The sequence below is a fragment of the Homo sapiens genome, chromosome 16 (assembly GCF_000001405.40).
Source record: "Homo sapiens chromosome 16, GRCh38.p14 Primary Assembly".
Taxonomy (NCBI): Eukaryota; Metazoa; Chordata; class Mammalia; order Primates; family Hominidae; genus Homo; species Homo sapiens.
The window spans coordinates 52,794,388-52,818,530 of NC_000016.10; the positions used below are offsets into that span (position 1 = coordinate 52,794,388).

The following is a 24,143-nucleotide window of genomic DNA, read 5'->3' on the forward strand; positions in this document are numbered from 1 at the left end:
GAGGAATTTTACAGGGAACTTGCCATTGAAGGACTGAAATAGGTGTGGCCCCCTTCTTAAGGACAACCACCCCATCGGGACTCATAGGGTAAAAATTTCATATTCCCCATTCCTGTGTCCTTTTCTCTGTGGAATGCTAAACTGTGTGCTAGGTAATCCCTGGTGTGGAAGATGCATACAATATGGCCCCCATGAATCCTGCCTCCCTGTATCTATTTCTGTGTATAGTTCCCTCCCACAATGACTGGCATCTTAGTCATGTGACTTCCTCTAGCCAATGAGACTTCAGCAAACATGCCACAGGGAAAAGTTTGAATGGCACATGCAAACTGGGGCTTACTCTCTCTCCTTTGCTGTTTTTGGACTCCAGCCACCATGTAAAAAAGCCCAGGCTAGCATTTTGGAGACAAGTCACCTAGGTGACAGCCAACACCAACCATCAGACATGTGAGTTAGGCCATCTTACTCATCCAGCTCCAATGGAGCAACCAAAAGTGACTCCAGATGGGGCCAGAAGAAGCCTAGCCCAAATTGCTGAACTGTCCAGAATAAAATGGTTCTTCCGAGTTTTGGGGTGATTTACTAGGCAGCAAGGTATAACTTGTAATGTCCCAAGTAGTCAGCCAGCTCTGCACCAACAAAGGCCAGAGCAGCAATCACCCCTCTAATTACTCAAAGAAGAGACAGAAAGTGTCTTATTAAATATTGCCTAGAAATTCAGAGTGAATCTCTTCTGACTAGCCCCTCTCTCAGCGCAGCAAATCAATGTTAACAAAACACATGTGCTGGAATTCCCCTGATGCCCTTCTAGGCAGAAGTTTTTGGTTAGGAAAAGAAAAAGAAACTTAATTTGAAGTTTTAATAACCTCCCAATTAGGTTGTTTCTGTTAGCATTAATATTTAATCATGACACTACTGTGACTATTTTGGAATTGAACTGAAATTAAGTAAAAATGTTTGATCATAAATAATTTCGTTATTAAAGATAATCTTTGTTATATATGTTCCCATGCCTATCTTTTATTAAATTTACTTTTCATGTTGACATTTTTAAGGGGATAATTGTATGTTTTTGTTCCTAGTAATATTGTTACCATATATTAATTATGGCATCATGCCGGGAACACTGGTACTGAAATTCTTTAGTTTTTCTACTTTAAGAGCCAGCAATAGGCTCTCTCCTTCACAACTAACAAATATATGATCAACTTGGAGCTCTAAATTTATCCCCTGAATTATTTTCTCTCTTTCCTAATTTGTTCATAACTACCACTGATCTTGATTCACCGAAAAACCAGGGTACAAGAGTGAAAGGGGTTTTGGTTATCTTTGCCCTTTTTTCAGGAGTATCTTGGAGGCCACACACATCCCCAAAAACAGAAGGATGTGTAGGCAGAATAATGGTCCCCCAGAGATATCCACATCCTAATCCTGAGAACCTACAAATATGTTCCCTTACAAGACAAAAGGGACTTTGCAGATGTGATTAAGGACCTAGATATGGAGAAATTATTCTGGATTATTTGGGTGGGTCCAGTGTAATCATAGGGGTCCTTAAAAGTGGAAGAAGGAAGGCAAGAGGAGAGTCAGAGAAGATATGATACCAAAGCAGGGCTGGACTGACACTACGTGAGAAGGACTCAATCCACTGTTGCTGATTTTGAAGACAGAGGAAGGGGCCATGCATCAAGAAATAGAAAAGGCAAACGAAATAGATTCTCCCTAGAAGCTCCAGAAAGGAATGCATCTTTTGCTGACAACTTCATTTTAGCCCAGTGAGACCAGGGCCAGACTTCTGTCCTACAGAGCTGTAAGATAACAGATTGTGTTGTTTTAATGCACTACATTTGTGGAAATTTGTTACAACAGCTATAGGAAACTGATACAAGTGGCATTCCCTGGGGTACCTTGGTATGAATCCTGGAAATCCCACTTACAGGCTATGTAGCAGAGGACAAGCTGTTTAACCTCTCTAAGCTTCAATTTTCTCATCTGTAACATGAGGATAATAGTGGTTATCTCACAAGATTATTGGGATAATTAAATGAGAAAATTTGCATAAAGCTCTTAGCCCAGTGCCTAGCACATTTTAAGCCTTTGTTAAAGGTCAGTTATTGCTGCCACCATTAAACCCTGTTGTGGCAGACTGGGGAATTGTTCACATTTGCCTGTGTCCTTCCCTGTTACAAGACCCTCACTGGCTGCCCTTTGGCAAGTGACTTCTAGAGTCTTGCTGGAGGTGGTGGGCACTTCTTGTCCCATTGTCAGGCTTGGCCATGGAACTGCTTTGCAATGAACTGTGAGCAGACATGAGCCAGGCCACATCCAAGGAGAAGTTCTGAAGCAAGTACACACTTTGGCCCTGCCTCTTGTTCTTTTCTCTTTATGATAAGAAAGGTATTTCCTAAATTATTAGGTTCCACCTGAGTCCTAGCTAAGAAGACACATGGCACAGAGCTGCTATACAGAGCATGTAAAGTGAGATATAAATGTTTGCTGTTGTAAGTCATTGAGATGTGGAGGTTATTTGTTTTCATGGTAAAGTTAACAAACATACCATTTATGGATACTGTTTAGAGAGTTACCAACTCACACCACATACACACCCTGCTATCTACAAAAACTATACTTTGATCATAGCTATCCTAACATTCATATTGGTATTCTGTGACCTCTGGGTCCCTGACCATGGTTAATTCAACCATACAAGAACCCTTGGTCCTACTTGGGCCACATAGATCCCCTTTCCCAAAAAGTTGGACCTGTGACCAAGAGGCAGCTAGAGACAAGCTCTGCCTATGCCTAGAACTAAAGAATTTGTGGAGAATAGGAAATATTAGGAATTATGGCCTGATCATGTTGGAGTCTGCAGCTGGAGAAGCAGAGAAAGAAGAATAGAGATGTGAGAACAGGAGGAGAGGCTGCCTGAGACCACAGTGGTTTTCCAATTCCTGGACTTGGTCTACCCTGAGGCCCTTGAGATATGCTCCATGAGATATGCTACTCTCCTTTCAGTAGATCCTTCTTACTACTAAAGTAAGCTCAAACAGGTTTCTGTAACCTTAAACTGAAAGCATCTTGGCCAAGATGAGGTTGTTGGTAGGAATACTGCTACCAGGAGTCTAAAGTAAAAATTTCCATTGATGACAATCCCCAAAGCCATGAGCAATCAGTCTGCACATTACAGAGGGCCCAACCTTCCCTTTTCCCTGTCTGCCTGAGCCCCCACCAGATTCCCCATTGGTACAGAGGATATAACTCTCCACTTGCCACCAACTGAGCTCTTCTAGGTGGATGAGTCAGAACACTAGAAGAAGATGGTTTCAGCACAGTTTGTTCACCATCAAACATATGTGTTAGAGTCCTGCTCTGTTCTGGACACCATGTTAGCAGAAGGAATACAAAGAAGAGAGGTAGCAGGGCATGGTGGCTCACGCCTATAATCCCAGTTCTTTGGAAGGCTGAGGCAGACGAATCACCTGAGGTCAGGAGTTCAAGACCAGCCTAGCCAACAAGGTGAAGCCCCATCTCTTTAAAAATATAAAAATTAGCTGGGTGTGGTGGTGCACGCTTATAGTCCCAGCTACTTGGGAGGCTGAGGCAGGAGAATCATTTGAACCTGGGAGGCAGAGGTTGCACTGAGCGGAGACTGCACCACTGCACTCCAGCCTGGGCGACAGAGCAAGACTCTGTCAAAAAAAAAAAAAAGGTGACTCACCCTGCAATTTATATAGCTTAGTAGGGGATAAAAGCCTGAAAAAGAAGTTCAAAAGGAAGGTTGGGGGTAAGAATCTTAGCCCCATCTCTGCCACTAACTGTGAAACTTCAGTAAGCCATTCACCATCTCTGGCCTCCAGCCTTCCCATTTACAAAATAAGGGCCTAGGTTAAAGGATCTTGACAGTGTTTTCCATGATGCCTGGCCCACTGGCACTACAGGTAAGACCCAGTAAACAAAAATGAGCCGCTGGATACAGTTTAAGCCTGGCTTCATTAGAATCATGTGGGGAGCAATCTAAAAAAATAAATGTAGAGTTTTGGAGCCTTAAGCCTCCGAGTTCTGATTCAGTAGCGCTGAGCAGCACCCTGGTTTGTGCTGATTCTGACGCATGCCAAATTTGGGAACCACTATTCTTCACTATTATGAATTACCAGATGGAAATGTCTTGGCCATCCCTTAAGCATATAAGCAATCGACAACATGATAAGCTGATAAACTGCAAATTCATTGTTAATACTTACATAACAGTGTTGGCATGGCATTGCTATGTGCCCAGCACTGTACTGAGCACTTTACATGTATTCATTAATTTAAGCTTCATAACACCCTAGGAGTTGGGTACTTTACTATCCCCAGAATGATTTTAATCCTTTTATTCATCTCTTTCTTCCTTGATCCAACAATGAACTTTGATCAGGTCTTCCCTATAGGAAAGCATAATAATTGGAATAAATAATTAAAATTAAGTAAAACGTAAAAGAAGAAGAAAGCCTAATTTGGAAGCTGGCTGCCTTATGTTCCTGCCTCATACCCACACTTCCTTTGGGACTTTGTGTCTGTATCTCCCACGTCTCTGCTTAAGGGTGAGAAAAGTGGCCAAGACATGGGCTGCACTTTCCAGGGGTGGGAGGATCTAATGCAAGGGAGATTCTAGTCATGAGTTTATTCTGCCACTGATTCAGTTGTCAGAGAGACTTGCATATTAGATGAGGTAGAAGAAATAACCCAATGGGATAATCTTGAAATTTCACCATCGGCTTTGATATCAGATATTTACACCTTGGATAATTAATAATCTGTGAGCATGGTAACATAAGACTCTGAGGATTTTATTGGTTCTGGGGAGAGTTCTGCCTCAAGGAGGAAGAGTAACAAATAACAGTAGTTTAAATAACAAAGCATTCAATTATCTCACAGATTTAAGTTTGGAGCTAAGTATTCCTGAGTTGATTCACCACTACCTCAGGGAATCCACATTCTTTTCATTTTTTCCATTCTTTTATTCCACTATCCTCCATGTGTAGATTTTCAACCTTCAGCTTATTACCTCATGATCACAAGATGGCTGCTATAACCCCAGGTGTTACAACCTAACATTACAACCTCCGAGGCAAGAATAGAATAGGCCCTTTCTTTCTGCGTCTCTCTCTATAACCAGGGCAGGAAAATCCCTCCAGACACATCATTCCCCTTATGCCTCATTGGTCAGAACGGTGTCACATGAATACTGTGATGGGTTGACTTGTGTCTTCCCAAAATTAATATGTTAAAGTCCTAATCCCTACTACCTCAGAGTGTGACTTTATGTGGAGATAGGGTCTTTACAGAGGCAATAAAGTTAAAATGAGGTCATTAGGGCGGGCTGCAATCCAATATGGCGGGTGTCCTTTCTGAAGAGAAAAATTGGACACAGACACGTGGAGAGGGAAAATGATGTGAAGACACAGGGAGATGGCAGCCATCTACAAGCTAAAGAGAGAGGCCTGGAAGAAACCCTTCCCTCACAGACCTCAGAAGGAACCAACCATGCCAACACTTTGCTCTTGAACATCTAACCTCTAGAACTGTGAGACAAGAATGTCCTTTTGTTTAAGGCACCCAGTTTGTGGTACTTTATTTATGTATTCATTTATCTGGAGACAGCGTCTCACTCTTGTCACCCAGGCTGGAATGTAATGGCACAATCTCTCCTCACTGCAACCTCTGCCTCCCAGGTTCAAGCAATTCTCCTGCCTCAGCCTCCGAGAAGCTGGGATTACAGGCACCTGCCACCATGCCCAGCTAATTTTTGTATTTTTAGTAGAGACGGGGTTTCACCATGTCAGCCAGGCTGGTCTTGAACTCCTGATCTCAGGCGTTCCACCCACCTTGGCCTCCCAAAATGCTGAGACTACAGGCATGAGCCACTGCAACCGGCCTGTGGTACTTTGTTACAGCAACTCTAGCAAGCTAATGAAGTCACCCCTACCTAACGTCAAAACATGCCATGAAAGTGAATATATAGTCAGCCTCTATTGTGGGAGGTAAATCTTTAAGCAGAACTACGAGAAAGAGAATGTCTACTGACTGGTTAACCAATGGTGACAGCTCCATCTTTGTTTACAAATCACAAAAATAGAATCTGGCTCAGTCAGAAAAGGAATATATTAGAATAATACAAGGAAGGGTTAGGAATCAATGGGAAGACTAGACAACCAAGCTTAGAAAAATGCAGAAAGCCAGGCAGGACTAGGGGTGTGAGTAGCAGGGATGACATAATCCTCTTATCATGACTCCACCACGGTGATGTATGAGCTCCTAATACATTTTTTGCCCTTAAAATGCTTAGGATTTCAAGCCCCAGGAGAGAAGGGACCCACCTTTTGACCACAGGAGAAGAGCGAATAATGACATGATTTAAATCCAACGAAGACTGCACCAAACTGGAGACAGACAATTCTCCAAAAGGAAATTAAGAAATTATTTCTTAAAGGATTCAGAATAAAAGCTGGGAGGCCAAAGAAATTACATGTCCACTTTACGTGTGGAAGACAGGCAACGGGTGCAGAAATTAGAGACAAGCAGGGTTTCCTTACAAGTACTGTAGGTTGTCCCACCTCCTAGGGATGAGTCCTCAGAGCCAAGCTCCAAGTCATGGTTAAACTACCCACACTTTTTACTCCAAAACTCCCAATCCCTGAGCATGATAATTAATTAACCAGTACCCTTCAGGGATTATTTTCTGATCTCTTCTAGTTCCTCCCTCTCCACTTCAGATCTTAAGCCCTCAAAGGATTAAATTAAAAAGCAAACACAAAAGCAATGGTTTAAATTCATCAGAATCACCCAATTTCTCCAGACTCAGTACCTTTTTCCATGCAAATGACAAAGAAAAAAATCACTTGTCTGTGTCAACGAGGTACCAAAACATTTAGTCAATTAGATCCAGTTGGGAAACAGCCTGTCACCCTGGTCGAGGGAGGAGAGAATCTGCCAAATTCGTTGTTTGACTGAATTGAAGGGCTGTCTTGTTCAAAATAAGTCTTTTTTATTAAATGTTGACAGATCATAGTACATCAAAAAGAAAATCTACAAAAGCCACTTTTCATCTATGTAAACAGTAAAATCAAGGTGGCATATTGGAAATCTCTAAATAACACTTTGCCTACATAAAAGGGTGTAATTCTTTAGGTCAGAATAAATTAGGAAAGAAAACCTCCTTTTCAAGTAGAAAAGGATTGAGAGTCTAAATTATCCCAGACGGTGTGTCACCAATATCAGTATGATTTCTCACCACCTCCACCATTTCACACTCCTTACATAGTGACAGCCCCATGTACTGAGTGAGCACCATACTAAGTGTTCTCCATTTAATGTTTTATTCAATCTGATCAACAACTCCATAGGGTAAAGACTGCTATTCCCATTGTAAAAGAGGAAACTGTGGCTTATGTGGTCTACACAGACCTGAACATATACCTGACTTCAAAACCCTGGGTTTTAACCCCTTGCTGGCGGTTCCCTTCTAAGAGTACTTAACTCTTCATTCCTGCCACATTATTGGCATCTTTCTCCTTGGGCTGACTCAAAAACCCTAGACCATTCTCTAATTGTTTGGGCTCAAAGAGTACCCCTTTTCATCAGCCTAACAGCCCCTGCCTCAAAATTCCTTGACCCAGGCCAGGCGTGGTGGCTTACACCTGTAATCCCAGCACTTTGGGAGGCTGAAGCGAGCAGATCACCTGAGGTCAGGAGTTTGAGACCAGCCTGGCCAACATGGCAAAACCCCGTCTCTACTAAAAATAGAAAAATTAAGCCGGGTGCAGTGGCTCATGCCTGTAATCCCAGCATTTTGGGAGGTCACAGCAGGCAGATCACCTGAGATCAGTAGTTCAAAAGCAGCCTGGCCAACTTTGTAAAACCCTGTCTCTACTAAAAATATTTTTAAAATTAGCTGGGCATGGTGGTGGTCACCTGTAATCCCAGCTACTAGGGAAGCTGAGGCAGGAGAATCACTTGAGCCCAGTAGACAGAGGTTGTAGTGAGCCGATATCACACCACTTGTACTCCAGCCTGGGTGACACAGCGAGACTCCATCTCAAAACAAAACAAAACAAAACAAAAATTAGCCGAGCGTGATGGCGCATGCCTGGAATCCCGGCTACTTGGGAGGCTGAGGCAGGAGAATCGCTTGAACCCAGGAGGTGGAGGTTGCAGTAAGCCGAGATCACAGCACTGCACTCCAGCCTGGGAAACAGAGCGAGACTCTGTCAAAATATAAAATAAAATTAAAATAAAATAAAATAATATAATAAAATAAGATATAAAATAAATAAAATAAAATAAAATAAAATAAAAATTCCTTGACCCAGTATAGCCTTGCTTTTCTTTTTTAGGCTCAAGCCCGCAGAGTCCAATAAGGTCTGCCCGCCCCTTTCTAACATTCTAATTGCCACATGCAATGTGGGTTCCAGCTTCTGCTGCACAGTCTGAGTGCTTATAAAGGAGAACTTTCACATAATAGTGTCTGACCCAGGGTGTCCAATACTGCCTTGTTTTATTTAGCTCAGGCATTGGGGGCTCTTTCTATGGGCAAGATGGTAAGATTTTCATTGAATTGTCATTGACTTTTGTCTTATATTTATGACCATGTCTTCAACTTCTCCTTTAATTTAGAAAACAAGACCTGTGAAATACACCACAGCCAGCTCCTCAATGGACTATCTCCTGCCACTTCTTATGATTTCTTGCCTTTTAGTCATCACAACCTCAATTTCTTCTTTGTGCAGTGTGTCCAAACCCCAAAGGTGATCACAGAACATGAAGCAATGGTTTCTAATTAACCCTTTTCTTTAGGCATAAGGGCTCAGGGTATACATAGAACTCTTTATGGCATGTGGACTTTTTATTGTTTGCCTTAGGATTATAACAGAAATTAATAAAAAAAATAAACTTCCCACAATCAATTCTAGTAAGACATAAAATTATTTTGAACAACTGCTTCAATGCATGAATCTGTTTTGTTTTGTTTCGTTTTTTAATTATAGACCCCTATTTTTCAACACTTACCTCTTGGACAAGTGTTATGTTGATCCAAGTGCTAAACTCTTGGATCAGACTCAGAAGGAAAAGGAGTCATGGGATAAATGAGGTTTGGAGAAGTGGAGTTCTCCTGAAAAAGAAAGAGAGAAAGAAGGAGAAGGAGAAGAAGAGGAACAGGAAGGGGAAGAAAAGAAGAAGAAGAAGACGAAGAGGAAGAAGGAGGAGGAGGAGGAAGAAGAAAGGGGAAGGGGAGGGGGAGGGGGAGGAAGAGGAAGGAGTAGGAGGAAGAGAAGGAAGGAAAGACGAGAGAGTGAGAAAGAAAGAAGGAAGGGAGGAAGGAAGGAGAAAGAAAGAAAAGAAAGAAAGAGAAAGAAAGAAAGAAAGAAAGAAAGAAAGAAAGAAAGAAAGAGAAAGAAAGAAAGAGAAGAAAGAAAGAGAAAGAAAGAAAGAAAGAGAAGAAAGAAAGAGAAAGAAAGAAAGGAAGAAAGAAAGAAAGAAAGAAAGAAAGAAAGAAAGAAAGAAAGAAAGAAAGAAAGAGAAGAAGAGACCTTTGCAAGAGAGGCCAACCTTCTTTTCTTCTTTTCTTTAATCCTACCCATCTCCACTCTTAAAACTTAAAATAATATTTCGTATTTTCTGAAATACTTTTTTTCTCTGAATTTATATTAACATTCCAAGACAAGGAACAAATAGAGGTATAAAACATGCTCACCGAATCATCTGTCCCGAATGCATCCCCAGGGCGCTCCCCACAGCATTGCTGTTAGGTTTGTGTCATGTTAGCAAAGGTTGAGAGTTTAGTCTCTAGAAAGAGATACATTAATAGCCCACAATTTCTTGAATCTAACCAATATTTCTTCCACTTTTCTCCCTACCCCAAGATTTTATTAAATAGATGATTCACTTTATGATCCTTGGAAATTTAAAGAAACAATCAATCCTCTTGACTCCCAATTTGGGGGAATTTTATTAATCTATTATGCAATATTTAATTTATATTGCATGTATTATATTGTATGCAAACAATGAGGCATACAACAAAATGAAAACCTGTGAGCCCAATACCCAATATTTTCCACTATTGTAACTACCTGAGAGATTCTTCCCTATCCCAGTTCCCTGCCACCTCTAATGGCAAGATTTTTCATTTTTTTTTTTTTTTCAGTTTTTACATGTGTGTCTTCCTAAACATATTGCTTAATTTTGCTTGTCTTTGAACTTTCTAAAAATGGCATCATACCATATGATGTCTCAAATGACCTGCTCTTGTCATTCAATCTTATGTTTAATCATGGAATACTGTGCAGCCATAAAAGAACAAAATCATGTCCTCTGCAACAACATGGATGCAGCTGGAAGTCCTAATTCTATGCAAATGAATACTGGAACAGAAAACCAAATACCACATGTTCTCACTTATGAGTGGGAGCTAACCATTGGGTACACATGGACATAAAGATGGAAACAATAGACACCAGGGACTACTAGACGGGGAGACAATGAGGGAGGAAAGGGCTGGAAAACTACCTAGTGTGTGCTATGCTCAGTACTTGGGTGATGGGACCATTCATACCCCAAACTTCAGTGTGACACAATATACACATGTAACAAACCTGCACATGAAACTCCCTAAATCAAAACAAAAGTTGAAATTAGAAGAAGCAAAACCAAAATAGAATTTCGAGGAACAATCTTATGTTTCTAAGATTCACTCATGGTTGGTCTATGCAAATGTGATTCATTTATTTTACTTGCTGCATAATATTCCATTGTGTGACTACACCCCAATTCATTTAACTATTCTTGTATGATGGATATCTGGATTGTTTGCAGTTTTAGTTGCTCTAAATATTCTTTTATGTCTCCCAGTGAATACATCTAACAATATCTCTAAGGCACATACCAAGGAGTGGAATACTAAATAGTAGAATATGCAAATGTGCAATTCTACAAGATAGTGCCAAATTGTTTTCCAAAGTAGTTACAACAATTTACATCCCCATCATCCTCTGTGGCAACCTTTGTTTCAATCTTGTAAAAATTGAGAACAGCACTAAAAGAATAAAACAGAGGATGAACGTGGTTTGATGTAAGTCAGGAAAGAGTGCAAAGGAAGATTGCACATAGAGGTGCTGCCTACACCAGGAAAGCTAGGCTAGAATCCTTTTCCCACCTGGGTCTTTAATCACCACTGACCTGGCACAGCCCATAGCCACAGGCAACTGATAAAAAATCCACCATGGCTGCCTGGTCCTCAGGGTTCCTCCTACCCTCGGCTTTTTACCTGCTCCCTTGGCAGAGTCTCACAGTATCTGTCGTTGGCTTTGTCCCTACATACAGTCAGTCAACAAGCACTTCTTGAGCGCCTGTCATATACCAGATACTGAAGGTATAGCAGAGATATGACAGGCAAGGCACTTACCCTTACATTCCATTAGATGGAAACACATAAGAGACAAGTAAACAAAAAGGTGAGTCCAGATTGAGCCTGTTGTTATGTACTTGATTTATTTCCTGATAACAGGTGAAGAGTTTGGGAAAAGCATTCCAGCCAGAGAGCAAGCACAAAAGCCCTCAAGCTGGATGGGACTGGTATGCCCAAGAGTCAAAAAGGAAGCCATGGGTCAAAGTGTTCTGGAAAAGGAGAGTGGCAAAAAAGGAAACTGGAAAAGCAGACAAAGGCCAGATGGTGCAGGGGGCTTTGTAGGCCAGGATGGTGACTAAGTAGCATGGGGTTGTCTGGGGAGAGGCAGAGAGATCCAAGTTCGATCCATCCACAGGACACAGAAGAAGAACTTGGCCGGGAGGGACAGGTAAAAGGGAGAAATGGAGAGGAGCATCTTCAACTGAAATACTCTTTTCCTGCTTAACACCTTTAAAAAATATTTTTTATTTTATTTTATTTTATTTTATTTTAGAATTAGGGGTACACGTACATGTTTGTTACATGAGTAGATTGCATACTGGTGGGGTTTGGGCTTCTAGTGTACCCATCCCCCAAACATTGAACATTGTTCCCTATGGGTAATCTTTCAACCCTCACTCCCCTCCCTCCATCCCTTTTGGAGACCTTAATGTCCAATATCAATATCCAAATATTCCCATCTTTATGTCCATGTGTACCCATTGTTTGGCTCCCATTTATAAGTGAGAATATGTGGTATTCGTTCACTTAGGATAATGGCCTCCAGCTCATCCATTTTGCTGCAAAGGCCATGATTTCATTGTTTTTTTATGACTGTATAGTACTGTATATATACCACAATTACTTTATCCAGTCAACTGTTGTGTCTTTTTTTTTTTTTTTTTTTTTGAGATGGAGTCTCACTCTGTCACCCAGGCTGTAGTGCAATGGCACGATCTCTGCTCACTGCAACCTCTGCCTCCCAAGTTCAAGTGATTCTCCTGCCTCCGCCTCCTGAGTAGCCATGATTACATGCTCCCTCCACCACGGCCAGCTAATTTTTGTATTTTTAGTAGAGATGGGATTTCACCAGGTTGGCCAGGCTGGTCTCGAACTCCTGACCTCAGGTGATCTACCCACCTTGGCCTGTCAAAGTGCTGGGATTACAGGCGTGAGCCACCATGCACGGCCATCTTTTTTAAAATAATAATTTATTTTCCTTTGGGTTGACATCCAGTAGTGGGATTGCTGCATTGAATGATAATTCTATTTTTAGTTCTTTGAGAACCTGCTTACTGCCTTTGAGCAATTGGTTAATGCTCAAGATCCACGTAATTCAGATTTTGCATTTCCCTGGGACACTGTTTCCAGGATGGCTGAGGAAAGAGAAAAGAAATAACAAAAAGAAAAGATGACTTCTTTCTCTTTCCACCTCGAAGTTTGGACCATCTCTCAACTATTGCCAAATGAAGCTGTGGCTTTAAGGGCAGAGCCTGGACATGGGAATCATGGCCCCAAACCTGCTTGGTAAAAATGTGACATATGGGCAGTTGTTTACCCTGAGCCTCAGGTTCTTAAGATGTAAAACTGACGGTGGGAGAGAATTGAGCACCTATTGCACATCGGGCATTGAACATACTTCGTCTCTTTAATCCTGAGAATAATGCTATTTTATGGATGAGAAAGCTGAAGCTGAGAGTTGTTGGGACCACGATGCTGAGATTCCAACCAAGGTTCAAGAAGGCTTTACAGAGCACTGCCTCAGGGATATTGCGAGCAGTGAGTAAATAAATGTGTGTGAAAATGTTCATCAAGCAGAGTGTTCTTTGCAAACGTAAGGTATAATTACTTTTTCTGCAAAACTCATTTTGAGTTGCTCCCCCACATACTTTCTACCCAATGAGCTACTTGTTTTTTCCCAAAAGCTTCGTGCACTTTAATGAATACCTCTGTTCATATATTTCCTTTTGCTCAAATACCCTTCCCCCTCTCATCTACCAGGTAATCTTATATTTAGCTCTCAAAAGACTTGCTCAGAAATTACTTCCTCTCAAATCTTTCCTACTTTTGTCATGCAAGCAAGACTGATCACCACTTTTTCCAGATTCTGATGGTACCTAAGATATGGACTGTACATGTAGCATTAGCTATTGCCCCACAATAATGCATTAACCATACACCCTAAAACCCTATGACTTCAAACATTAATGATTTTTTTCCTGCTCACAATCTAAGGGTTGGCTGGGAGTTGGCTGATCTAGGCTGGGCTCAGCTCCAAACCACACATTGGTCCAGTCTTCCTCATGAAAGTACTACTTGGAATTGCACCATAGAAGTGTGCTCTTTCTCCAGTGGAAAGAGTTGTAGAGTCCAGGGGCAAAGGATTTAGAGCCAGGAATAGGTGAAGAGTGAAGGTCAATAACTCCATCTGTCACAAATACGTTTTAAAATGCTCTTATATGGGCTGGGTGTGGTGGTTCATGCCTGTAATCCCCGCACTTTGGGAGCCCAAGGTGGGTGGATCACGAGGTCAAGAGATTGAGACTATCCTGGCCAACATGGTGAAATCCTGTCTCTACTAAAAATACAAAAATTAGCTGGGCATTGTGGCCCACTCCTGTAGTCCCAGCTACTCAGGAGGCTGAGGCAGGAGAATAGCTTGAACCTGGGAGGCAAAGGTTGCAGTGATCCAAGATCGTGCCACTGCATTTCAGCCTGGTGACAGAGCAGGAATCCATAAAAAAAAAAAAAAAAAAAAAGTTCTTATATGGATGTGGTGAAGAGGGAACACTTTTACACTGCTGGTGGGAATATAAACTAATGCAACCACTATGGAAAACAGTGTGGAGATACCTTAAAGAACTAAAAGTAGAACAACAATTCAATCCAGCAATCTCACTACTGGTTATCTACCCAAAGGAAAAGAACTCATTTTATGAAAAAGACGCATGCACACGCTTTTGTAGCAGCACAATTCATAATTGCAAAGATATGGAACCAACCCAAGTGCCCATCAACTAATGAGTGGATAAAGAAAATGTGGAATATATACACCATGGAATACTACTCAGCCATAAAAAGGATGAAGTAATGTCTTTTGCAGCAACTTGGATGGAGCTGGAGGCCATTATTCTAAGTGAAGTAACTCAGAAATGGAAAGCCAAATATGATATGTTCTCATAAGTGGGAGCTAAGCTATGAGAATGCAAAGGCATAAGAATGATATAATAAACTTTGGGGACTCAGCAGGGAAGGGGCAGATGAGGAACAAAAGACTACATACTGAGAGGCCAGGCGCAGTGGCTCACGCCTGTAATCCCAGAACTTTGGGAGGCCGAGGCGGGCGGATCACCTGAGGTCAGGAGTTCATGACCAGCCTGACCAACATGGAGAAACCCCATCTCTACTAAAATACAAAATTAGCTGGGTGTGGTGGCACATGCCTGTAATCCCAGCTACTCGAGAGGCTGAGGCAGGAGAATCACTTGAACCCGGGAGGCAGAGATTGTGGTGAGCCGAGATCGTGCCATTGCACTCCAGCCTGGGCAACAAGAGCGAAACTCCATCTAAAAAAAAAAAACCATCAAAAGACTACATATTGAGTACAGAGTACACTGCTTAGGTGACAGGTGTACAAAAATCTCAGAAATCACCACTAAAGAACTTATACATGTAACCAAAAACCACCTTTTCCCCAAAAATCATTGAAATAAAAAAGAAGGAAGGGAGACTAACTAAAAGAAATATGAAAGTCCTCTCAACTAATTAAAAAAACGAAATGTTCGTATAACCACTTACTCACCAGTTGAGTACCTATTGTGTGCCAGGCACTCTTCTAGGTGCTGTGAACACAGTCAGAAGCAAAAAACAGAGAAGGTGCCTGTGTCTTCATGGAGGTGACATTCTCATGGGAGGACACAGACAAACGGGCAAGCAGGATAATTTCAAATAGTGGCCGGTACTATAAAGAAAATAAAACCTGGACATCTGAAAGAGTAACAAGAGCAACAGCAGGAGCAAAGGGGAGTTTGGATGGTGTATTGGGGTTCTCTAGAGGGATAGAACTAATAGGATAGAGGTATATATAAAGAGGAGTTTATTAAGGAGTATTAACTCACACGATCACAAGGTCCCACAATAGGCTGTCTGCAAGCTGAGGAGCATGGAAGCCAGTACGAGTCCCAAGGCTGAAGAACATGGAACCTGATCTTTGGGGCAGGAAGCATCCAGCACAGGAGAAAGATGTAGGCTGGGGGGCTAAGCAAGTCTAGTCTTCATGTTCTTCTGCCTGCTTTTTATTCTAGCCACTCTGGCAGCAGATTAGATTGTGCCCACCTGCATAAAGGGTGGTCTGCCTTTCCCAGTCCACTGACTCAAAAGTTAATCTCCTTTGGCAATACCCTCACAGACACACCCAGGAACAATATTTTGCACACTTCAATCCAACCAAGGTGACACTCAGTATTAACCATCACACATGGGGTGATAGGGAATGGCCTTTCTGGAAAAAATGACTTTTGAACAGAAATATGAGTAATGCAACAGAGCTGGTCCCATCAATCATGGGGAGATCTGGGAAAGAGCATTGCAGGTGGAGGGACATCTCCTGGGTCTGAGAAACAGAAAGCACCAGTGCAGTGAGGATACACAACCAGTATCAAAATCACCTGGAAGGCTTCTTAAGACACAGATGGCTGTGCCTCACCCCCAGAGCTTTTTATTTGATGGATCTAGTTCGGGCCCAATAATTTGCCTCTCTAACAAGTTCTTGGGTGATGTTGATGGCACAGGGACTCTATGTTTTCAACTGGTGTGCTTGTATGATCAAGAGAGTGTGGCACAAGATAAGACCTTTGAGGCTGTGATGAAGAATGTTAATGTTATGCTGTGTACAAGGGAAGTCACTGGAGGACATCAAGCAGGGGATTGATATGACTTGATATAGAGATTGGGTGTTTTTTTCTAGCTTCATTGAGGTATGATTGACAAATTAAAAGTGCATGTATTTAGGTTTAGTAGAGCTTCTGGAGCCAGGGGGCTAACAAGGGTGCAAAAATGGAAGAAAGAAGTTAAGATATTTATGATACCAAACCATCAGTTTTCCAGGGTTCCTACTTGGGGCAATGGGACATACAGAGCTGCCACTGGCGAAGATGAGAATGATGGTGGAGAAGAAAGATTGGTAAGGGAGTGATGTCGATTTTGAACTCAATTTGAGGTCCCATTCAAGACCACTGTGTTACACACCTCTGGAGGTACCATGCACACTACATATAGTGTGAAAGGCAGCCTGGCAGCACAGAAGAGTAACATGACAATGTGAATAGCACCACCTAGAATTGTGCAACATAGCCCAAATATTCTTCCTCTTCTAAGCTTACATGTTAGTGAAAGAGGCAGGCCATGGGTAGGCAAGATATTTTTGAATGGTGTTTTGTGCCATAAAGAAAATAAACTCTCAATTCTGCAGATCTGGATAACTCATGATGCTGCTAGCAGTCACTGACTATATGGACGGGGCATTCGCATATTCACTCCTAGGACCTACTCGGTTAAAGAAAGCACATGGAGAACCATTACTTGCAGGTAAAATATTAGGTGGGTGCAGAAGTAATTGTGGTTTTTACCTTTACTTTTAATGCCATTACTTTTAAAAACCACAATTACTTTTGCACCAACCTAATAATAGTAACTAACATTTACTGGCATCTATGATGTGCCAAGCATAATAAGTCCACATATTAGTTCAAAGAACAATCCTGAGACATGTATTCTCATTTTACAAATGGGAAAACTGAGGCACAGAGTGTTTCAGTAACTTGCCAGAGGACACATTGCTAGGAAGGGGCAAAGATGGGATTCAAGACAAAGGTTAACTGCAGAGCTGGCTGTTGTACACGTTTAACGACATGGCTCTTGGTTACTTGCAGGCAGAGTCTGTCTGAAGAAGGTCCATGTCACCCTTGTCCCCTGGCCAGGCTCTGGTATTGCCAAAAAGAAAAATCCCACCTCGCCAAGGCCTACGTTCTTTGCCAAATACATCGCTAAAACTGTCACAGTATCCGTAGCATTAAGAAAACCCCATGCCTGAATCTATGTGCCAGACCTTTTACACAGAGAAAATATGGACATTTTCTTTTAATAACGCTACAGGGAAATAATGAAATGGTAGCATTACAAAAACGTAATTAGGTCTTCAATAAAAAAAAATCTCCACTGGAGTCCTATAAAAAGACCACAGGTGTTCATCATTATTTTTTATTTAGCAGACAGTTTTAGCCATTGTTTGTTTTTTCCTCTATTTATTAAGTTCTGGTATTTTAAGATGATTTGTGTATAATAATAACAATAATTTCCTGTTTGCCTGTCAGTTGTGAGCCGCTTTAATTACAGATATTCATTTTCAGAAGTTAACTAGGTAAACACACTCATTTGTTATGTTCCCTGTTCATTAAATCAGTTAGCACAGCTAGTAACTATATTAAGTATTTTGCTGTCGGGTTTCAGCAATGTATCTTCATGGATTTCCAATGCTATTTCTCACAGAGACAGACGCAGACTTCCTGACAGTCCCTTCCCATTGGTTTAAAGATGCCAAGTCTTCCATCTCTGCAAGGCCAGGTGCATTACACCCGATGGAGGCATCCACTTAAGACCCTGCATATCACAGTCCAAATCATTAATTCAGACTAAAGTGCAGTGCTTGATAGCCAGAAGCAAGATATGGGATAAAGGAAGAGGGACATCTTGGCAAGGAAGGATTCGAGTAGACATGCTTGGAGCATACCTGTCACAACCATGTCTTTGGACAGCCCTCTGCACCCACTCTGCAGAAGGAGAGGGCCTCAGTCACCATGGGGGGTACCAGATAACCCTGATCCCTGACAGCAGCTAATTATTCCAGGGTTGGACATCAGAGGTCATCAGTTGTCTAACTGAAGCATTTGAAGGATAGAAACCAAGTTGGAGATGTAAAATTCAGAGAGAATCAGGGCTGAGTCTCTGAGCCATAGCAGTCCCAAACCACACACAAGCTACTGTTATGGGAAGGCATGAAGAGATTAATGACGCAGAGACTCCTCAACAACAGGAGAGCATGCAACCAGGAAAGAAAAAGTAGAGCAAAAGAGCATTGCCTGAAGATGTTGCACCTCCCAAGAAGCCCAACTAACTGTTTCTTTGAGACTTTCATGCATCTTTACAATAAACCAGTCACTTAGCTAATTTAGTAGGTCTCTATTAGTTACAACCAAGCATGCTCTGAGCAATACATTTTTAATCATGGTGACTGAGATGATGGTGGGTCCACTAAAAGTGTCACATCTGGTAAATTCCAACTTTTCTAGAAAGCAGCTATGGGTACTGGAACTTGGTCATCTGTCATCAGTCACCTGAGAATTAGATGTTTCATTCAACGTTTTCCTTTAATAGGGACTATGACTATTGTTGACAAGCCAAATTAGGACTAAGGGAAATAAGAGATTCTAAGTTGTCAATAGCTAAGTCACAAGGTTCCAGAGGAAATGACTCATCTGTAGTGTGAGTCATGACAGAGGAATTTGTGTCAAAGGGGCATATTCCCAGTCAGAATGGTGATTATTAAAGAGTCCGGAAACAACGGATGCTGGCAAGGTTGCAGAGAAAAAAGAACGCTTTTACACAGTTGGTGGGAGTATAAATTAGTTCAACTATTGTGGAAGAGAGTGTGGCAGTTCATCAAAAATCTAGAGGCAGAAATACCACTCAATCCAGCAATTCCATTACTGGGTAGATACCCGAAGGTATATAAATCATTCTATTATAAAGATACATGCACGTATATGTTCATTACAGCACAATTCACAATAGTGAAAACATGGAATCAACCCAAATGCCCATCAATGATAGACTAGATAAAGAAAATTTGGTACATATATGCCATGAAGTACTATGTGGCCATAAAAAAGAATGAGATCGTGTCCTTTGCAGGGACATGGATGCAGCTGGAAACCATTATCCCCAGCGAACACAGGAACAGAAAACCAAACACTGCATGTTTTCACTTAGAAGTGGGAGCTGAACAATGAGAACACATGGACTTAGGGAGGGGAACAACACACACTGGGGCCTGTGGGGGGTGAGGTTAGTGGGAACGAGAGCATCAGGAAGAATAGCTAATGCATGCGGGACTTAATACCTAGGTGATGGGTTGATCTATGCAGCAAACCACCATGGCACATGTTTACCTATGTGACAAGCACGCACGTCCTGCACATATACCCCAGAACTTAAAATAAAAGTTAAAGGAAAAAAAGCAGAATGGATATTCAAAGCAGAACAAAAGTTCAATGAGTTGCCCCATGTCAATTATTTATAACTACTCTGCCTCACCTCTTTTGGAGCCTTGCTAAGCTCTCCTAAAGAGAAAGATCCATTGGTTGTAGCTAGATGAGCAACAATGAGAAACAATGAGACAAACATCTGGCATAAGCACGGAGTGATTAGGGAAGATGATATTTAGTCTTGTTGAGCCTAAGCCAGGTCATCTAGGTGGAGGCCTCAGACAGGGAGGGGCACCATTAGCTCATCAGAAGGTGCAAGCCAGCATATTTAATAAATCCAAACCAATCTGGTAAGGATTTTCCAAAAGCCTCCAAAACTAGTCCCACACTATTTTCTCCATGATACCTGGCTTTGCTCTACATTCCCTTCCTTTACAGTTTCAAGTCCTTTATGCTTGGCTCTCCCATCTTTTGAAGGCTTCACCATCTTTTGACTTCTCCTGTAGGAATTGTCTCCAGACTCTCTCTCCTTCTAGCCCTCATAGATCCCTAGGTCAATGCTGGAAATACATGATGGAATTCAGGAGGCAGTTTAGTCTCATGTCACACCCAAAGGTATAGACAGAACACCACTGACACCACGGAATCATGGAGGTGCTGGGTCAGCAGAGAAGGAATTTTGGCAGCAAGGCCCCCAGAAGAGGTGGATGATGATAGCACCTAGAATGTATGTGAAGAGTTATAGACTTCAAAGAGAAGGAAACTTGAAAGGAAGGAGAAACGTTGAAGTAAAACAGAAGGGTGATGAGATATCTCCCTTTAGAGATCTCTGTAAAGTAGAAGCGTGCTGTGAGTACAGGGCTCAGAAATAGAATTACAGGCATGAACAGAAGACTAATTATCTGAAGAACGTAATGTCTGTATACTTATAAGACTTGCTTTCTTGGCTGGGCGCGGTGACTCATGCCTGTAATCCCAGCCCTTTGAGAGGCCAAGGCGGGCAGATCACGAGGTCAAGAGATCGAGACCATCCTGGCTAACATGATGAAACCCCATCTCTACTAAAAATTACCAAAAAATTAGCTGGGCGTGGTGGCGGGCGCCTGTAATCCCAGCTACTTGGGAGGCTGAGGCAGGAGAATGGCGTGAACCTGGGAGGCAGGGCTTGCAGTGAGCTGAGATCGCACCACTGCACTCCAGCCTAGGCGACAGAGTCAGACTCCATCTCAAAAAAAAAAAAAAAAGACAAAAGACTTGCTTTCTTGAACAAATAGGATCATTTGTTCAAGAGCTATGCTGGAGCTCTGTAGGTTTTTGCCAACACTGCATCCATTCTCCCTCCCCTGGTAACAGCACCTAATTTTGATTTGCAAATCCCAATGTATACAATCTTATTGTGACTGTCAATCAGAGAGTCCCACCCTCCCCTTCCCAAGGAGTGTGCACATGACCCAAGCTAGACCAATCAAAGGTCTAATTTGAATTTTTAATACAGTAACACCAAGACTGAAAAACTCTTGGTGCTGATTTCTTCTGATGGTGGCACCAGAAGGGACCTACTCTCCAGAACCAAGGAGGAATTCTGGTGACAGTTTTTTCAGAGATCTTATTCTCCAACTCTTCCTTGAATTTTGTGAACCAATCCATATCCTTCCAAGAACATCCTTTTTGGCTTATGGTGATCAGACCCAAGTTCTGTTGCTTATAACTTAGAAATCCCAACCAAGGCATAAGTAGTATTACCCAGTGTTAACTAAAAAGTAAGACATGATGGGAAGAATTAAGAATCCCAGAATAGGGGGCCAGGCTCACGCCTGTAATCCCAGCAGTTTGGGAGGCCAAGGTGGGCAGATCACTTGAGGTCAGAAGTTCAAGAGAAGCCTGGTCAACATGGTGAAACCCCGTCTCTACTAAAAATACAAAAATTAGCCAGACATGGTGGGTGTGTGCCTGTATTCCCAGCTACTCTGAGGCTGAGGGAGGAGAATTGCTTAAACCCAGGAGGCAGAGGTTGCAGTGAGCCAAGATCATGCCACTTCACTCCAGCCTGGATGACAGATTCTGTCTCAAAAAAAAAAAGGAATTCCAGAATGGGGATTCCACTTCCAGCATTGCCGCTGCCACTAAAACACTGGACAAGTTTGAGCAAATCCCTCAAGCTCACAAAGCTTCATTTCACACAGCTGTAGAAGAAAAGATTGAATAAGAAGCTGCAAAAGTCCTTTTCCATCTTCATAGAAATATTTTTTCCCCTATCTCTTATTTTAAAGAGTCTCTAGTCTCCATTCTCTGCCATCCACTATCAAAGGACTTTAAGCATAGCAAAGAAAAGAAACACATCATATCCCCTTCTAATAGACATGGGACTTGGAATTCATTCATAAAGAGAATTCCAAATCTCATGTATGAGCCCATTTTGTTAAGCAATAGACGTTTAATATGATTTCATTTTTTTTTCATTCTTTCATTTGGCATTTGCTAAGAAATTCTTCCACGTGTTTTACATTCTCTATGAGGCGAAAAAGGAAGTCAGGACCCAATCTCTGTCCTCAAGAAGCTTGAAATTTAGTTGAGGAGGTACATGAAATCCTTAGACAATATTTCCAGATCTGAAATCACATACCCAGCCCCTAGCAAGTGCCAAGTATATATAGTAGGTGCTTAATAATTGTTGGTTGAATGAGGTATAATACATGTGTGCATACTGCTATGTAGTTTATAATAATAATTCAAAATGATGAGAAGATTATTTATTTTGCAACTACTGTGCACTTCTACTACATGATAGTTTGACATGAGCTTCAATTTTTAAAATGTTTTTCGAGATAGATCAATTGAAGGGTGAGTGTTTGCATTTCAAAAAAGAATATTCCTACCTGAAAAAAAAATGTATTTAAAGAGTCTAACAGATTTACAATAGATTTTTCTTTGTGTGGAAGTTTAAGAACATCGCTATGAGTAAATGAGGGTAAACCTGAACTTAATATGTCAAGAGATAACTTCATCCAAAAACTTCTGCCTGTCCCTTAGATGCCAGTGTAATAGCACTTGACATACAGCAGTACTAAGCAGATGAAGCTGTTAAAGCCGCAGGCCACTCACCAGGCCTGTCAACACGTGGAGGTCTCAGTAACACAGGGGACTTTTGATTCAGGAGGCAAAGTTCACCCCGAGGATCACAGTGCATTAGGGAGGAACGAAAGCCTTCTGGTATGGCCAAGTGGACGAGACCAGGGAAAACCTGAACAGAAAATGCAATAAAATTAAAATGCAATGGGAGGGAACTGTGGTGGCAGCAAGCATAACCTTCTTGGTGTCTTTAGCAGTGTTAATGGATCCACTTATGGCACAGATGGTGGTTTTCAGAAAAGTCATTTTTTCTCTAACAAATTCATGACTAAACTAAAAAGACCACTATCAACTTCATTATGCTTTCCAATTGACTTGCTTTAAGGGTTATTCTTTTATTATAGCTCTTAAGCTCCCGTTTCTTTTTTAAAGTACTTCTTTTAGTACCAATTTTCACAGCACTAAGAAATTTAACACTCTTCAGTGGTTATATTAATGGCAAGGAACTGTTGCAGGCTGAAGAGTAGCATGAAAGACACTGGTATTGGTCATTTGTTATCTCGTCTACCACAAGTTACGGACCCGGATCCCAGGGGGTGACACTGAGGACAGTGGTGATGAGAGAAAGCTGGTGACATACCTCCTTTCTACAACATAAGAGTTTATGACACACAGCATATTCCATATTGCTCTCTTCAAACACAATCCTACTTCAAGCCTCTCCTATCCAAGTGTGCCCAGTTAGCTCTTTCAAGTGACCAGAAGATCTAATTAATTGCACAAACAAATCCGTAAGTATTTTACAAACATCGTCGCAAGTAACTGTAAACACAGAGATAAAACAGTTTGTGTAACATGGGGTAAGCCAGAGTCCTGAGCCAACAAAACAATTATATTTTTTCAAAGTGAAATTGACTTGGAGGAAGATCAGATTTCATAGGAATAAAGAAATTACCTATTGTAATATTACTTATAAAAGCAAAATTGAAATAAATTTCCCAGCAATGGGCAAACAATTAACCATATCTGCTCAGCTATTAAAGAGAAGTTTTGGAGGGAGCACAGTGGCTCACGCCTGTAATCCCAGCACTTTGGGAGGCTGAGGTGGGTGGATCGCTTGAGGTCAGAAGTTTAAGACCAGCCTGGCCAACATGGTGAAAACCTGTCTCTATCAAAAATACAAAAATTAGCTGGGCATAGTGGCACATGCCTGTAGTCCCAGCTACTTGGGAGGCTGAGGCAAGAGAATCACTTGAACTCAGGAGGCAGAGTTTGCAGACAGCCGAGATCGCACCACTGCACTCCAGTCTGGGCAACAGAGTAAGACTGTGTCTCAAAAAAAAAAAAAAAGAAGAAGAAGATTGGGAAGAATATGCACAACTATGGAG

At 41.7% G+C, this 24,143-nt stretch overlaps 6 annotated features.

Moving 5' to 3' along the window:
• Positions 3,311-4,510: an enhancer, noted in NCBI's record as "CDK7 strongly-dependent group 2 enhancer chr16:52831610-52832809 (GRCh37/hg19 assembly coordinates)". NCBI's record gives its function as "activates an origin of replication core promoter dependent on BRD2, BRD4, P300/CBP, MED14 and CDK7 cofactors, with strong dependence on CDK7, by STARR-seq in HCT116 cells {active_cell/tissue: HCT116}" and the evidence as "EXISTENCE:reporter gene assay evidence [ECO:0000049][PMID:35650434]".
• Positions 4,642-5,167: an enhancer, noted in NCBI's record as "OCT4-NANOG hESC enhancer chr16:52832941-52833466 (GRCh37/hg19 assembly coordinates)". NCBI's record gives its function as "activates a minimal SCP1, AML or CMV promoter by ChIP-STARR-seq in primed H9 embryonic stem cells {active_cell/tissue: H9 hESC(primed)}" and the evidence as "EXISTENCE:reporter gene assay evidence [ECO:0000049][PMID:30033119]".
• Positions 18,050-18,551: an enhancer, noted in NCBI's record as "H3K27ac hESC enhancer chr16:52846349-52846850 (GRCh37/hg19 assembly coordinates)". NCBI's record gives its function as "activates a minimal SCP1, AML or CMV promoter by ChIP-STARR-seq in naive H9 embryonic stem cells {active_cell/tissue: H9 hESC(naive)}" and the evidence as "EXISTENCE:reporter gene assay evidence [ECO:0000049][PMID:30033119]".
• Positions 18,050-19,452: a biological region, named in NCBI's record as "P300/CBP strongly-dependent group 1 enhancer GRCh37_chr16:52846552-52847751".
• Positions 18,253-19,452: an enhancer, noted in NCBI's record as "P300/CBP strongly-dependent group 1 enhancer chr16:52846552-52847751 (GRCh37/hg19 assembly coordinates)". NCBI's record gives its function as "activates an origin of replication core promoter dependent on BRD2, BRD4, P300/CBP, MED14 and CDK7 cofactors, with strong dependence on P300/CBP, by STARR-seq in HCT116 cells {active_cell/tissue: HCT116}" and the evidence as "EXISTENCE:reporter gene assay evidence [ECO:0000049][PMID:35650434]".
• Positions 18,552-19,051: an enhancer, noted in NCBI's record as "H3K27ac hESC enhancer chr16:52846851-52847350 (GRCh37/hg19 assembly coordinates)". NCBI's record gives its function as "activates a minimal SCP1, AML or CMV promoter by ChIP-STARR-seq in naive H9 embryonic stem cells {active_cell/tissue: H9 hESC(naive)}" and the evidence as "EXISTENCE:reporter gene assay evidence [ECO:0000049][PMID:30033119]".